At 53.1% G+C, this 13,571-nt stretch overlaps 1 protein-coding gene across 27 annotated transcripts in view, besides 5 other annotated features; it reads left to right on the top strand.

The window, feature by feature from the left end:
* Window positions 1–13,571, top strand: part of TBC1D16 (TBC1 domain family member 16) — a 103,530-nt gene that overhangs the window by 37,362 nt on the left and 52,597 nt on the right. For 2 of the 27 annotated variants that reach the window (XM_047435358.1, XM_017024187.2), the window contains exons 1-2: window positions 4,795–4,915; window positions 5,647–5,712. The exons of 15 other annotated variants lie outside the window; for them this stretch is intronic. Coding sequence is in view for 10 of the 12 variants with exons in the window: in XM_017024187.2 (XP_016879676.1) it covers window positions 4,891–4,915; window positions 5,647–5,712 (91 nt within the window). In the remaining 2 variants the exon portion in view is untranslated. Of the gene's footprint in view, window positions 1–4,099; window positions 5,713–13,571 lie in introns of those variants that run through there. 10 more of the 27 variants (XM_047435357.1, XM_047435353.1, XM_047435359.1 and 7 more) reach the window with 8 other exon arrangements.
* Window positions 4,415–5,614: an enhancer, noted in NCBI's record as "BRD4-independent group 4 enhancer chr17:77966696-77967895 (GRCh37/hg19 assembly coordinates)". NCBI's record gives its function as "activates an origin of replication core promoter dependent on BRD2, P300/CBP, MED14 and CDK7 cofactors, and independent of BRD4, by STARR-seq in HCT116 cells {active_cell/tissue: HCT116}" and the evidence as "EXISTENCE:reporter gene assay evidence [ECO:0000049][PMID:35650434]".
* Window positions 4,564–5,435: an enhancer, noted in NCBI's record as "H3K27ac-H3K4me1 hESC enhancer chr17:77966875-77967746 (GRCh37/hg19 assembly coordinates)". NCBI's record gives its function as "activates a minimal SCP1, AML or CMV promoter by ChIP-STARR-seq in primed H9 embryonic stem cells {active_cell/tissue: H9 hESC(primed)}" and the evidence as "EXISTENCE:reporter gene assay evidence [ECO:0000049][PMID:30033119]".
* Window positions 4,688–4,880: a silencer, noted in NCBI's record as "fragment chr17:77967430-77967622 (GRCh37/hg19 assembly coordinates)". NCBI's record gives its function as "represses an EF-1alpha promoter that drives an FKBP-Casp9 reporter gene in an ReSE screen in phorbol 12-myristate 13-acetate-treated (for megakaryocytic differentiation) K562 erythroleukemia cells {active_cell/tissue: K562(+PMA)}" and the evidence as "EXISTENCE:reporter gene assay evidence [ECO:0000049][PMID:32094911]".
* Window positions 6,779–6,838: a silencer, noted in NCBI's record as "silent region_9097". NCBI's record gives its function as "represses an Ori minimal core promoter by ATAC-STARR-seq in GM12878 lymphoblastoid cells {active_cell/tissue: GM12878}" and the evidence as "EXISTENCE:reporter gene assay evidence [ECO:0000049][PMID:35858748]".
* Window positions 9,793–10,664: an enhancer, noted in NCBI's record as "H3K4me1 hESC enhancer chr17:77961646-77962517 (GRCh37/hg19 assembly coordinates)". NCBI's record gives its function as "activates a minimal SCP1, AML or CMV promoter by ChIP-STARR-seq in naive H9 embryonic stem cells {active_cell/tissue: H9 hESC(naive)}" and the evidence as "EXISTENCE:reporter gene assay evidence [ECO:0000049][PMID:30033119]".

Raw genomic sequence — 13,571 nt, 5'->3', positions numbered from 1 at the left:
AATAATAATACAAAAATTAGCCGGGCATGGTGGCTCACACATGTAGTCCCAGCTACTTGGGGGGCTGAGGCAGGAGGATTGCTTGAGCCCAGAATGCGGAGGTTGCAGTGAGCTTAGATTGCACCACTGCCCTCCAACCTGGGTCACAGAGTGAGACCCTATCTCAAAAAAAACAAAAAACACCAGTCTGAAAAGGCTGCAAGCTGCATGATTCCAGCTCTAGGACATTCTGGAAAAGGCAAAATTGTGAAGACAGTAAACAGATCAACACCTGCTGGGGGCTCAAGAGGAGAAAAAGATAAATGGGCAGATACTGGATTCCAAAGGCAGCGACACTATTCTTTTTCCTTTTCTTTTCTTGTCTTTTTTTTTTTTTTTTTTTTTTGAGACAGAGTTTTGCTCTTTGTGCCCAAGCTGAAGTGCAATGGCACAATCTTAGCTCACTGCAACCTCCACCTCCTGGGTTCAAGCGATTTTCCTGCCTCAGCCTCTTGAGTAGCTGGGATTCCAGGCTCCCGCCACCACACCCAGCTAATTTTTGTATTTTCAGTAGAGACGGGGTTTCACCACGTTGGCCAGGCTGATCTTGAACTCCTGACCTCAGGTGATGCACCCTCCTTGGCCTCCCACAGTGCTGGGATTACAGGCGTGAGCCACCGCGCCCGGCTGCAGTGACACTATTCTGTGTGAGGCTGCAATGATGGACGCCTGCCACTGTGTCTCTGAAACCCCATAGACTGTACAACACCAAGAGTGAACCTAGTAGAAGCCCTGAACGTCAGTTATTACTGATAATGTATCAATATTGGCTCATCAGTTACAGCAAATGTACCACGCAAATGCAAGACATTAATGGTATGGGAAAGTGTGTACATTGAGGGGAAACTCGCTGTACTCTGCTCAGTTTTTCTGTGAACCTAAAATCGCTCTAAAAAAGAAAGTCTATTCATTTAAAAAAGTCTTCGTTCATGGGCTGTACAGAGGCAGAGGGCAGCCTCAATTTGGCCCTCGGGCCATGGTTTGTGGATCCCCCGGTTTAGGCTAACAGTGCCCAATAGAAATGTAACGTGAGCCACCTCTGTGATTTAAAATTTTCCATTAGCCACGTTTAAAAGTTTTTATTTCGAAGTAACTACAGGAAGTTGCAAAAAAAAAAAAAGTACCGGGAGGCCCTATACACCCTTCACCCACTTCCCCCCATGGTGACATCCTGCATAGAAGCATAGTACACTCTCCAAACCAGGAAATTGAGGTTGGTACAGTCCACAGGTCTCACGGGTATTACAGGCACCCATCTGTGCTTGTGTGTTTAGAATCCTGTGCCACTGGGATACATGTAGCTTCCGGCAACTACTACCACTAGCTAGACGCAGAACCACTCCCCCACCGCAGGGTTCCTCCACGCTGCCCTGGCACAGGGCAACCACTCCTCTGTAAGAATTTTACGTAACTGGAACCCTGCATGATGTCAGCTTTGAGATGGACTTTTTTTGGTTCAGCATCATCCTGTGAAGCTCTATCCAAGCTGTCCTGTGTGTCAAGAACTTGTTCCTTTCTACTGCTGAGTAGCAGCACCCCACGGTCCACGCGCTCACGGACTGATGGACATGAACCATGGCTTCCCATTCAGGGGCGACTGTGAATAAAGCTACTAGGAACATTCATGTGTGGGGTTTTGTTGGAACCTAAGTTTTCGTTTCTCTAGGATAAATTCCCACAAATGCACTTGCCGAGTCATATGTGGATTGATTGTGTGATTAGTTTTTTAAAATACGTTTTTTATCTAGTAAAAATAGAGACAGGGTTTTTGCCATGTTGCTCAGGCTGGTCTCGAACTCCTGGGCTCAAGCAATCCTCCCGCCTCGGCCTCCCAAAGTGCTGGGATTGCAAGCGTGAGCCACCGTTCCCGGCCTATGTGCTTAGTTTTTAAAGCAATTGCTAAACTGTTGCATAGAGTGGCTGGGCCGTTTTACACTCCCACCAGAAATTTACGAGTGCCTTGTTTCTCCACATCCTCATCAGTATTTGAGGTTGTCACTATTATTTTTTTTAAGCATCCTGATGGGTGTGTAGTGACATCTCATTGTGGTTTTAATCAGCATTTCCCTAATGGCTCGTGATGTCGAATATCGTTTTGTGTGTTTATTTGCCATCCAGGTATCTGATTCTTTGGCGGAAGATCTCTTTGTCTCTTAAGCATCTTCTTATATCTTAATAATATATATCGAAAGGCTTATGGGGACAACCTTTGGTTGGAGGATTTTGGAAAAAGTCATAATATGATTTATTGTGGCAACCAGAAGCGATAATATTGTTCTAGTGACAGGTAACAACCTGCTTTTTTATTCCTGTTAATACATGATTTCTTTTGTGACTGTAATAAAACAATGTATACAAACGATTCACTGCAATGAAGACAGATACCCAAAGAGACAAAGAGACATCGTCTAATCCATTTTTTGTTTGTTGACTACTGAGTTTTGAGAGTTGATTATACACTCTAGAAACTAGTCCTTTGCTAGATATGAGGATTGCAAATATTTCTCCCAGTCTGTAGTTCTTTTTTTCATCCTCTTAACAGGATCTTGCACAAAGCAAAAGACTTTAATGTTGATGAAGTCCAGGTTATGAGTTGTGCCTTTTATGAATCATACTTTTCATGTCAAGCTCAAGAACTCCTGACCTAGTCCTAGATCCTGAAAGTTTTTTTCTTTTTTTTTGTTTTTGAGACAGAGTTTCGCTCTGTCGCCCAGGTTGGAGTGCAGGGGCGCGATCTCGGCTCACTGCAAACTCCGCCTCCCAGATTCACGCCATTCTCCTGCCTCAGCCTCCCGAGTAGCTGGGACTACAGGCGCCCACCACCACGCCCGGCTAATTTTTTGTATTTTTAGTAGAGACGGGGTTTCACTGTGTTAGCCAGGATGATCTTGATCTCCTGACCTCGTGATCTGCCCACCTCAGCCTCCCAAAGTGCTGGGATTACAGGCGTGAGCCACCGCGCCCGGCCGATCCTGAAGGTTTTCTCCTGTTATTTTCCTAAAAGTTTTACGGGGTCGAGGTTTATTTATTTATTTATTGCCTATGGATGTGCAATGACTCCCGCGTCGTTTGTTGAAGAGGCTGCTCTTCCTTCATTGAGACGCTTTGCTCTTTTGTCCAATATCAGTTGGGCATATTTGTGTGGGTCTTATAGGTACAATTTTTTTTTTTTGAAACGGAGTCTCAGTTTGTCACCCAAACTGGAGTGCCGTGGTGCGATCTCAGCTCACTGCAACCTCCGCCTCCTGGGTTCAAGCAATTCTCCTACCTCAGCCTCCGGAGTAGCTGGAATTACAGGAGTGCCTCACCACACTCAGCTAATTTTTGTATTTTTAGTAGAGATGGGGTTTCACCATGTTGGCCAGGCTGGTCTTGAACTCCTGACCTCAGGTGATCCGCCTGCCTTGGCCTCCCAATGTGCTGGGATTACAGGCTATGAGCCACGGTGCCCGGCCATAGCTACATTTTTACAAGTCAAAAAACAAAAAGAAAACAAACAAAAAGGTGAAAATTTTTGTAAATTACCCAGCTTGTTCAAAATAGTATCATTCCAATGTGGGATCAGTATACACGGCCGCCGATGGGAAGTGTTTTACATTCTCTCTGTTTACCAAGTCCTGGGAATTTCGCGTGTACTTTACACCTAGACCACGTCTCAAGTGTGATGCCACATGTGGCTTGGGGTCACTGCCTTGGCCAGCACGAGTCTACACAGATTGGCGACCTGCTTTTTTGAAAAAACATTCTCGGCCGGGCGCAATGGCTCACGCCTGTAATCCCAGCACTTTGGGATGCCGAGGCTGGTGGATCACCTGAGGTCAGGAGTTCAAGACAAGCCTGGCCAACATGGTGAAACCCTGTCTCTATTAAAAATACAAAAATTAGCCGGGCGTGGTGGCAGACACCTGTAATCCCAGCTACTTGGGAGGCTGAGACAGGAGAATTGCTTGAACCCAGGAGGCAGAGGTTGCAGTGAGCTGTGATCACGCCATTGCACTCCAGCCTGGGGGACAAGAGTGAGACTTCGTCTCAATAAAAAAATAAACAAAACAAAACAAAACAAAATATTCTCTGGCCAGCCCTTCTTCATGGACTCCCTCTTCCTTTGTCCTTGATGGTTGGGCAGCCTCTAGGAGGAGGGGGTTTCATTGCCTCTTGTCGGGGGTTCACAGCCCTGGCACCCCCCCGGCCCTGAGCTGGGATTCTAGAAGTCACCAGCCAGGTATGTCCCCCAAGGGAGCTGGATTCTAAAGAGATGGGGGCGGAGCCAGTGCATCTGGTGGGCCGTCTTAAACCATGCTGTTATTGACTGTCTTCCGAAGGACTGACAGCTCTTTAAAAAGCTGACCTTTCTAGTAAAACTGTCAGGACAGGGAGGAAATAAGTGCCTCAAACCTCCTGAACCAAAAAGAAGGAAGTTCAGGCTCCTGGAGAGGCAGTGCTCCCCAGGGATGGGCGCTCCCTGCATCAGGAGGGCTGTCCAAGGTCAGGGAAATGAAACTTGTCAGCCTTTTCCACCGCAGCTCAGAAACCATTGACAGCTGCTCCGGGAGGCCTTGACGCAACCCCGGCCGGTGGTTGCATGGGGGCTGGGGGCTCCTGGTGCTCTCGAGGGGCTGAGCTGCTCTGAATACACAGAGCTGCCCTTGGGAGGCTCCCGAGCCCCAGCTCTTGCATCAACAGCCCTGGCAGGGGCCTCACAGGCCACGTGAGCTTCTGAGAGCTCTGAGCATGAGGTCACGGGCTCCCAGAGGCAGTGATGTGGCAGCGCCTGTCTCCCGGTGAGTTGGGGAGCTCACACCGTACCTCTGGGGAACCACGCCTGGCTGTTGCAATGTAACCCAGCACCTGATGAAATCTTCCCTGAAAGTTGCAGGTAGTGGGGGCAAAGGACCTTTTGTCTTGCGGTCGAAAGACTCCCGTAGCTGGTTCTGTTTGGCTTCATATCCTTCCCAGCAGAGTAAACAGAAAGGGCATTTTCACGTGGCTCTTCCTTCCAGTCTGAACAATGTTCCCTAAACACCTGCAAGGCAGAGGACACAGGGCTCCTGGTGCCCGTCCACCTAAGTGCCTCCTGGCCTCAGGGAATCTGCTTTGGGGACCTGAAAGTAAGGTTCCCTGACCATCAAGAACAGACAGACACTCAGCCACACTTCTGGAAACCTCCGCCCTTTGAAAGGGACTGGCTGGTGGAAGCAGGCGGCCTGGGGCATATCCCTGACCTTATTACCCCCAGGTGGTGACAGAGATGATCTTTAAGTGTGGGAGCCTGGAGCCAAGTCCTTGGCCACATCCCAGCTCTGCCTGGCTGTGTGCTGGTGGGTTATTACCCTCATTGCCTCAGTTTCCCCTCTGCACAATGGGGCTGGCGCTAGTGCTCCCCACCCCATAGACTGTCATGAGAAGTAGCATCTGGACAGGCCCTGAGAGCAGTGCCCATCTCTGTGCCATCCGCTGGGACTGGTGTTGGCCTGGTACTGTACCGTCTCACCCTTGTGTCCCCAGGAGGGGAGTGGGGTCGAGACCAGCCCCAGGGGTTACATGGACAATGGGGTTACATGGACAAATGCCTCTTGTTACATTTTGTTCACTGGTTCCCAAAATGAGGTGCAGGCTCTGCAGAGAAAGCAGGCTTTCCCCGAGGGGCTCTGGAGCAGAAAGAGCTGTCTCAAGGTAGGTGCTGGGGCTGGGGTGATGTGAGAGCAGAGTTGGAAGTGGGAATGTTCTGGAAGGAGGGAGAGGGCTAGTGGCAGATATGTGGTCACCGGAGGAGGAGCCCTGCGATATATATCAGGCAGGGACAGGGAGAGGAGAGGCGACCTGGGACCCCGAAAACCGGGTGGGTGGTCGCTGTGGCCTCTCCTGGGAGCCTCGGACTGGCGGTTAGGGCAGACTCCAGTAGATTGTAAAGGCATCAGGATCTGTCTTGCTTCTGTAAATATTTAAACACTGGGAGGATTATTTTTGGTAGCTACGGTCTCTCTCCGAGCCTGGCGGGCTGCCGGGACGGGTGTCAAGTGACATCGGGTGCAAGGATACCCCACCCCCTGGCCCCACCGGCCCCAGGCTCCGTGTGTTCACCTTTCCAACGGCCACAGTTTGATGTGGGTCACGGTTTCCCCTTCTAGGAGACGCAGAGAGATGGTCTCGGGCGCGACCAGCAGGGATTCCTCGTCCACACAGTTTCCTGACAGCGGTTGAAAGGGACGGGTCTACGCAGGCCAAGAACAGCAGCGGAGTGTGGGGTCAGGGGCCCAGCGGGGGGCACCCCGGGGAGGGGCCGCCTCCGCCAGACCCACCCCGGGTGAAAGGACGCATTGTGTGCCCGCAGCATGAGGGGAGCCTGCAGAGAGGCGTCTTTGTAGGGTCCACGAGGGGGAAAGCGCTTCCCGGCAGGCGGAGCACACAAGCCAGCCGGTGGCCACGGCCGGGACAGGCTTGTACGCAGGACATTGAGGTCCGGCGAGGATGGGGGGGCCACCAGGCCCCCGGCCCTTTGCAGAGTGTTGCTCGTTTTCTCCCACCCCAGAATTGGGCTTGGCCAACACGGCCCCCCCAACCATCCCCCCACCCCCGCCAGCTGCCCGGAGCCTCTGTGAAGATGGCGGCACCGCCCCTTGCAAACTCCATCTGCGTGGAGGTGGCACTCCTGCTCCGGGAGGGATCCCGGTGCCCAGCAGATGGCAGGCTTCCCCTAGATCAGCCCAGGGCTGGCCGCTGCCTGCGGTGCACGCCCCCGCCCTCCCCCTCCCCGCCCCGCCCCGCCCCACCCCCACCTGCCTGTGGCTGGAGGGCAGCACTGCCTGCGCGCCTCCCCACCTGACCTCCCTCTTGCCTCCCTGCCTCCTTCCAAGCAGATTTTGGTGAATCCTAAATCACGTGGATATTAACTCGCAAGTGCCTGCAAGCAGTTCTGAGGGCCGGGCTGGGGTGCACACTCACTTGGGCCAGGTCCCCCTGGTCAGGGTCAGCCAGACGCCACTCCTGCATCCTGTCCACTCTTAGCAGCCTTCTGCCTTCCCTGCTGACTTTCCGCCTCTTCTCTGGGTGTCTGGTGGGTGGAGAGGTGGAGAGCCTCCAGCACAACCTCACCCCACCCCACCTCGCGTCAGCCTCAGCCTCCCCTGAGACTACACGGAACCCAGACACGTTTGACCTCTGGCCCCAAAGCAGAGATGCCTGGCTGATGGGATGGGTGGGAGGCCTGACACAGCCAGATGCAGCCTGCTTTGTGTCATTCCTGCTCTCCCGGCGTGGACGCAGGGACCGCCCCCGGGACAGCCCAGCTGGGTCTCCAGGGTGGCTTTGTCTGGAATTTACTTTGTGAACCTCTTGCTTGTCAAAATTATTTCATAGATGATTCATGGTTATATAGAAGTGTCAGAAATAAAGAGAAGGAGCTCAGATACATGACCACCCCTGCCCATAGCAGCACCGTCCACAGTAGCCCATGGTGAAAGCGTCCAAGTTCCCCCGACGGGTGACTAGAGAAACGCGGTGTGTTCACACACATGTTCCACACACACCCAGCGGAACGTTCAGCCTTGGGAAGGCAATTCTGACACGCGCCGCAACACGGATGAGTTGAGGACGTTACGCCGAGTGAAATGAGCCAGACATAAGGGGCCAAATCTGTGTGATTCCACTTGTGTGCGACCCCTGGAGTTGTCAGGCTCAGAGAGGGAAAGATTGGGGTGCCAGGGGCTGAGGGAGGGGACGTTGGGGAGCTGGTGTTTCATGGAGACAAAGCTTCAGTTTGGGAAGAAGGAGAGTTCTGGAGATGGGTGGTGTCATGGTTGCACAAAAATAGGAATGGTATAATGCCACTGGGCTCGACGTTGAAAACGGTTAAGGTGGTGAATTTTATGTTATGGACATTTTACCACAATAAACAGAGAGAAGGAAAAATCAGTTAAGACCTTTTAAGGTGACTGGGACTGTGAGACTGGTGCACGTTTTCCCATCCTTTTGAGAACTGCCTTCTTGGATTAGGTCTGTAAGCCTGTGTAGGTTGTCCCCACCCCAGCAATTGGTCGTGAACTTCAAGCATTGGGAAATCACGTGGGAGGTGGCTGCCCAGGCTCACCTCTGCCCGGGCTGCAACAGGAGGCTCTCATGGGGCAGGTGCTGCGCTGTGGCCAGAGTGCTGGCCGGGGGCGTGGGCTCCCACCACCTGGAGCCGGCCCCTCGCTGGCTGGGCGCCCGAGACCCGTCACCGCACACGCCTTGTGAGGGCTACGGCTGCTGTCCACGCGGCTAGTTCAGGCTGAGTTGAAGCCTCCGTCCGAGCAGCTGAAAGTCAAATCTAGTCGTTAGACTCTGAAAGCTGGTTCATGTCAGAGACCTGACATGGAGTGTGGGAAAACCTTGACGGAAGCTTCCAGAGCCTGGCAAGATTAGATCAGGAAGTAACACTTTACCTAGTGAGCTTAGAAAAATAGACTCTCCCTGTTGTCTTCTGGGAACTGGGAAATCTGAGCGCAGGTTTCTGGGCATGGATGCTGCACACAGGCCTGCCCCTGGGGGTGGGCAGCAACACCCCAGCCACCCCAGGAGGGTGGGGACCCCTCGGCTGACTTTTGGGAATCCAGAGGGGGTCATTACAGAAGGGCTGGCGCTAGAGTGGCCATGAGGGTACAGTGGGTCCCTCTCCGCACCCCTTGACCCCAGTCATCTTTTCAATACCGTTCTCTGGTGGGACTTGCGAGGGCCGATGCTGAGGCTGCTCTGCTTGTGCAGAGAGGACATTCGTGTATTTGAGGATGTTCGTGTATTTGAACAAAGGTTGTAGTGTCTTGGCCTCTCGGCCTTTGGCATTGCCAGGTATCTGGGCAGAACCAGCTAGAGCTGCTGGAGAATACATGAGCAGTATCTAGAACAATTCCGAACTCCACAAGGCCAGTTTGCCATGCCAGACTGTTGGGAAGAGGCAACGACAACTCGTATTTATGACTCTGTCCATGGCAGGCAAAGCGAACCGTGGCTTTTCATCCTGGAAATACCCCAGCACAGTGTTTTTGTGGGAGCCTGTTACTCAAAGCAGGCACAGAGTGGAAAAGGGCCCGATCAAGGCCACAGTGTGGGAGCTGTCAGAGCAGGGCAGGCCCGAGGCCCAGGGCTCTGCTGAACCAACCACCAGTGAGAGGGGCTTTGATGCGTCCAGTGATAAAACCCGTCGGGCAGGTCCTGGGAGGGATTCTGGCTTTGGGGACTTTGCTGTGCTTAAGTCATGGGCAAAAGTTCCTGCGCTGGCCAATTTTGTTTTCATCGAATGTGGGGATCCCTGTTCAGGGGGCACACGGTGCTGCATTTGAGGGTCTTGAGTGGTCCTCCACATTTGGGGTGTCCTTTGGGCCATGTGGAGCCCTGAGAAGGATTGACAGGTGTTTGGGAGTTTGTGTTTGTATCTTGGACGATGGAGGAGTTTCCCTAATCATGGTGTTTTTTCAAGTTAAGAAACTTCCTTTGGAGAAGCCGTTTTCTCTTTTACTGATGAAAGGCTTCTTCTCGGCAGGAGGACTGAAGGTGCTGGGTCCTGAGGGAGGGCCTGGGGCCGGCGGGCAGGTGCGGGTTGGGGAGGGTGGCACCGTCCAGCCCAGCAGAGCCCAGAAGACGGGACCAGGCTGAGGACTTCCACGGGGCTGGCCGGGCTACACAGCACCATGCTTAGCGGGATTGGACTTTGATTTTCTGTGGCTCTAACTGATAAAACAAGCAGGGGCCTTCTAAGTTTTGCTTTGAGGTTGACTGCCAATTAAAGAGCCAACATCTGGTGCATAGGACCCTCCAGAAAAAGTCTTTTTGCCCTTAATGTTAATTTTTTCCCCTTTGTTGGAGTTGATTTGTTAAGTTGCTGGTGTGTGTTGACAACTGTTTGGTACAGAACGCAGGCACGTGCGTTCACCAGGACCCTGGCTTGCCGAGCGGGAGGTGGTCGACTGTGGACTCTGGGCGCGTTTGACTTTCAGCCATGGTCTTATGATTGGGCAGCTTCCGTCCGGTTGCTGCCCCCTCTGCCCCTTGGGCATACGCCCAGTGGAGCTTGGACCTGACTCATAGCTCTCTACAGTCGACAAAAGGAAAATGTTTCAGTTTGGGTAAATCAGCCACAGCTGGAGCCAGGGAGAGGCCCATGGGCTGGTGACTTTTCAGGGTGGTGGTGTTTGTTCAGCGTGTTGTTTTGCTCTGTGACTTTGGAGAGTGCATCAAAGGCTCGGCGGACGCCCACTTGCCGAGGAGCCACGGCCCTGGCTGGTGGCCAGGCAAGCACCTCCCAGGTAGGCGTCAGGGGAAGCATCCAAACTAGTAAATAAAACGGCTTCTGGCAGGACGTGCTATCATCCCCCTCTCCCTTCTAAACACACACACGCTTTCACAGAGAAGAACTTAGAAGTATTTCGTTTGAATCAGAAGGAAATATTGAATATCGTCTCATTCTCCCCCACCTAATTTTTTTTTTAAACCACATTCAGAATTGCTGGGCAACCTCATTTCCCCACATTTAGGATTCTTCCCTCGAAATCTCATGCAGGCGTAAAATCCGAGAGCCTCGGAGGGTTTTTCTGAGCCTCTGCATCTCCCAGCACCCCGCCCCCACCCAGCACTCATGTGTTTGTCTGCTTTAAAAGCTTCAGGATGGGAAATTCCTCACCAGCCCGTAAGCCGCTGTTTGTAGGAGCCCCTAAACTCTGTGGAACCCAAATCTCCCAGTACTGACTTAATTCCCTTTTCCCTGAGAACCAGCTCCCTGCAGCACCCAGGGTTCTGCCCGCAGAGGGAGGCTGTGGCTGGGAGTGGAAAATGCCCAGCCAGGGGCTACCTTCATGGGGACATTCCCTACCCCCATCCCCACCTTCATTCGGAAAGAGTCATGACTCCTGGTCACCAGGCAAACTTCTGTACCTGCTTATTCTGGTTTAAAAATAGGTCAGGCATGATGACTCATGCCTGTAATCCTAGCACTTTGGGAGGCCGAGGCAGGAGGAGCGCTTGAGCCCAGGAGTTCAAGATCAGCCTGGACAACATAGCGAGACCCCATCTCTATAAAAAATAAAAAATTTAGCTGGGCGTGATGGCGTGCACCTGTGGTCCCAGCTACTCGGGAGGCTGAAGTGGGAGGATCGCTTGAGCCCAAGAGGTGGAAGCGGAGGTTGCAGTGAGCTGTGATGTCACCACAGCACTCCAGCCTGGGTGACAGAGCAAGACCCAGTCTGAAAAAAAAGTAAAAAAAAAATTCCTTAAAGAAATGCTTATTCCCCGCTCCCACCCAGACCGAGACGCTCTGGAACAATTTTCTCCAGTGCTTGAGTTTGGGATGAGGGCCTGGAAAGACCATCCAGTCTCCTGCCCCTGGTGGGCAGCCAGTTCTGCCTTGGGCAGCGACACTGGGCACAGCCCGTGACCCATCCTGGCCCTGATCTCTTCTGGCTCTCAAGGGAGGTTCTGTGGCCCCACCTCAAAATTCAGGGTCCCTCTGTGGAAACAAAACATATCCCAGATGGATTTGCTACAAGGCCATCCCGGGAAGGGAGCCAAGTAAACACAGCAGCAGAGACCGGAGGGCGCGAGGGGACGGCTGACCGCAGTCCAGCTCCTCCCATGCATCACGCCCTCCCACCGGCCCGGCCTCAGGCTTCTCGTTCACCCCCATCTTCCCGTGGACCTGATCGGAGGTGTCATCTCCCGCTGCGGGCTGAGGCTCTGAGGAGGGCCGGGTGTGTAGAGCCTTCCTTGGAAGGGAAAACCCAACCAGGATGTTGGTTTCCGAGAGGAAGCCCGTTCACCCACCATGGTGGCTCTGCCCTTTAATAAGAGGCAAAGAACTCGGGTGCTGCGGGTACTGGTCACTCTGTCAGGGCAGACATACCCCTTGCCGTTCATCCTTCAAAGGCCAGGCTTCGGCAGGGGGCGGCACGTGTGGTCTCTCTTTGGCCTTTTCTGGTGGAAGGTCCTGGGGTAGGGAGTCCTCACGTGGTTGCTCTGCAGGGAGGGGCCCTCCAAAAATAATCCCGGGGCCTCTTACCCACCACTGCAACGCTGACGATACTGCACTGAGGAATCCACTCTTGAGCTTTGCTTTGAAACGCTGCACATTTGCGTCTGCCCAGACTTCTGTCTAAGAGGTGCTCAGAGATCACCTTGCGTTTATGAAGCGAACGTGGCCTTGGGATATAGACCTGGGGCCCCAAGTCCAAGACCAGTGAATAAAGTGAGAGATGGCTTTGCCCCAAGTGGGTGAGGTGGACCCAGCACCCATGCTTGCCGCCTCCTGCCCTCCCTCCCGCACTTTGGGACCACGAGGAAATTGGCACTGCAGTGATTCATGCAGCTGCTAATCAAAAGCTTTTATTTCCTGATTATCTCTCCGTTTGAGGGATGGCAGATGCCAGTGCAGTCAAAATATAAACAGATTCTAGTCAGGACCTTTCAAAGCAGACACCAGCCGTTCTGAAGAGCGGAGGGCCGCGCCCCTTATGCCGCCTGGCAGAAGAGTTTCGTTGGGAAAAATGGTTTTTCATAACCTTTCTGCTTTCTTATTTAAATTAAGCTTTGCCGGGAGAGTTTGGTAGTAGCAGAGGGCCCCTGATTTGGTCCCCTTTGACCTCCACAGCCTTGATTGGCAGTTTGTTGTGGGCATTGAAGTTGTGGCTGCGAGGTGGGAGCCAGCAGAACAAATACTCTAGGACAGCTGGGCATCCCCGAGGACCCAGCCGAGGGGGGAGTGTGCGCAATTAGAGAGGTCTTCACACAGAAAGTTAATTAGCTACTAAATGGCATTTAGCACAGTTTATGAGAATTGCATGTTTGAAAAGCAAATGGAGATCAATGCGGAATGGCTGCCACCGGATGGGGACCCTTGGACCCAGCACCAGTCTCAGGGCCTGGGATGCCCCCCACCCCGAGCGTGAGTGCCAGGCCAGTGCCCGCTGAGACTGGACTGGGAGATGCTCCTCGAGGACCTGCCTGGCCTTGGGGGGCAGTCCTGCTTCGCACCCACAGCCGAGCTTCCCTGTCCAAAAAAAGTGAGTAAACACGTCTTCAGTTTCGGGGAACTGTGTCTGCCGTGGCCTGGATAGTGACTCCCTTCCCCGCAAATTCATGGCCACTCAGAACCTCAGAATGTGACTTTATTTGGAAATAGGGTCTTTGCTGATGGGATCAAGGGAAGGATCCAGTTGAGGTCTTCCTGGATTAGGGTGGCCCTAAATCCAACGGATGTCTTTAAAAGACACGGACGGACACACAGACACAGGAGGGGCAGGGAGATGGAGGCAGAGATGGGAGTGATGCTGCTGCAGGCTTGGGGGCTTCCAGGATCCAGGACGAGCACCTCCAGCTGGAAGAGGCAGGAAAGACTCTTGCCTGGAGCCTTCAGAGGGGGCGCGGCCCGACTAGCACCTTGACTTTGACCTCCAGAACTGCCAGACAATACATTTCTGTTGTTTTCAAGCTTCTGGTCTGTGGTCCTTCATTACAGCAGCCCTGGGAAATGCTGTGTCACCACCAAAACGCAGCCCCCAAAACATAGCCCC

This window comes from Homo sapiens, chromosome 17 (genome assembly GCF_000001405.40).
Source record: "Homo sapiens chromosome 17, GRCh38.p14 Primary Assembly".
NCBI lineage: Eukaryota > Metazoa > Chordata > Mammalia > Primates > Hominidae > Homo > Homo sapiens.
Note: the sequence above shows the minus strand (reverse complement) of the source record. Positions and strands in the feature narration are given on the sequence as shown.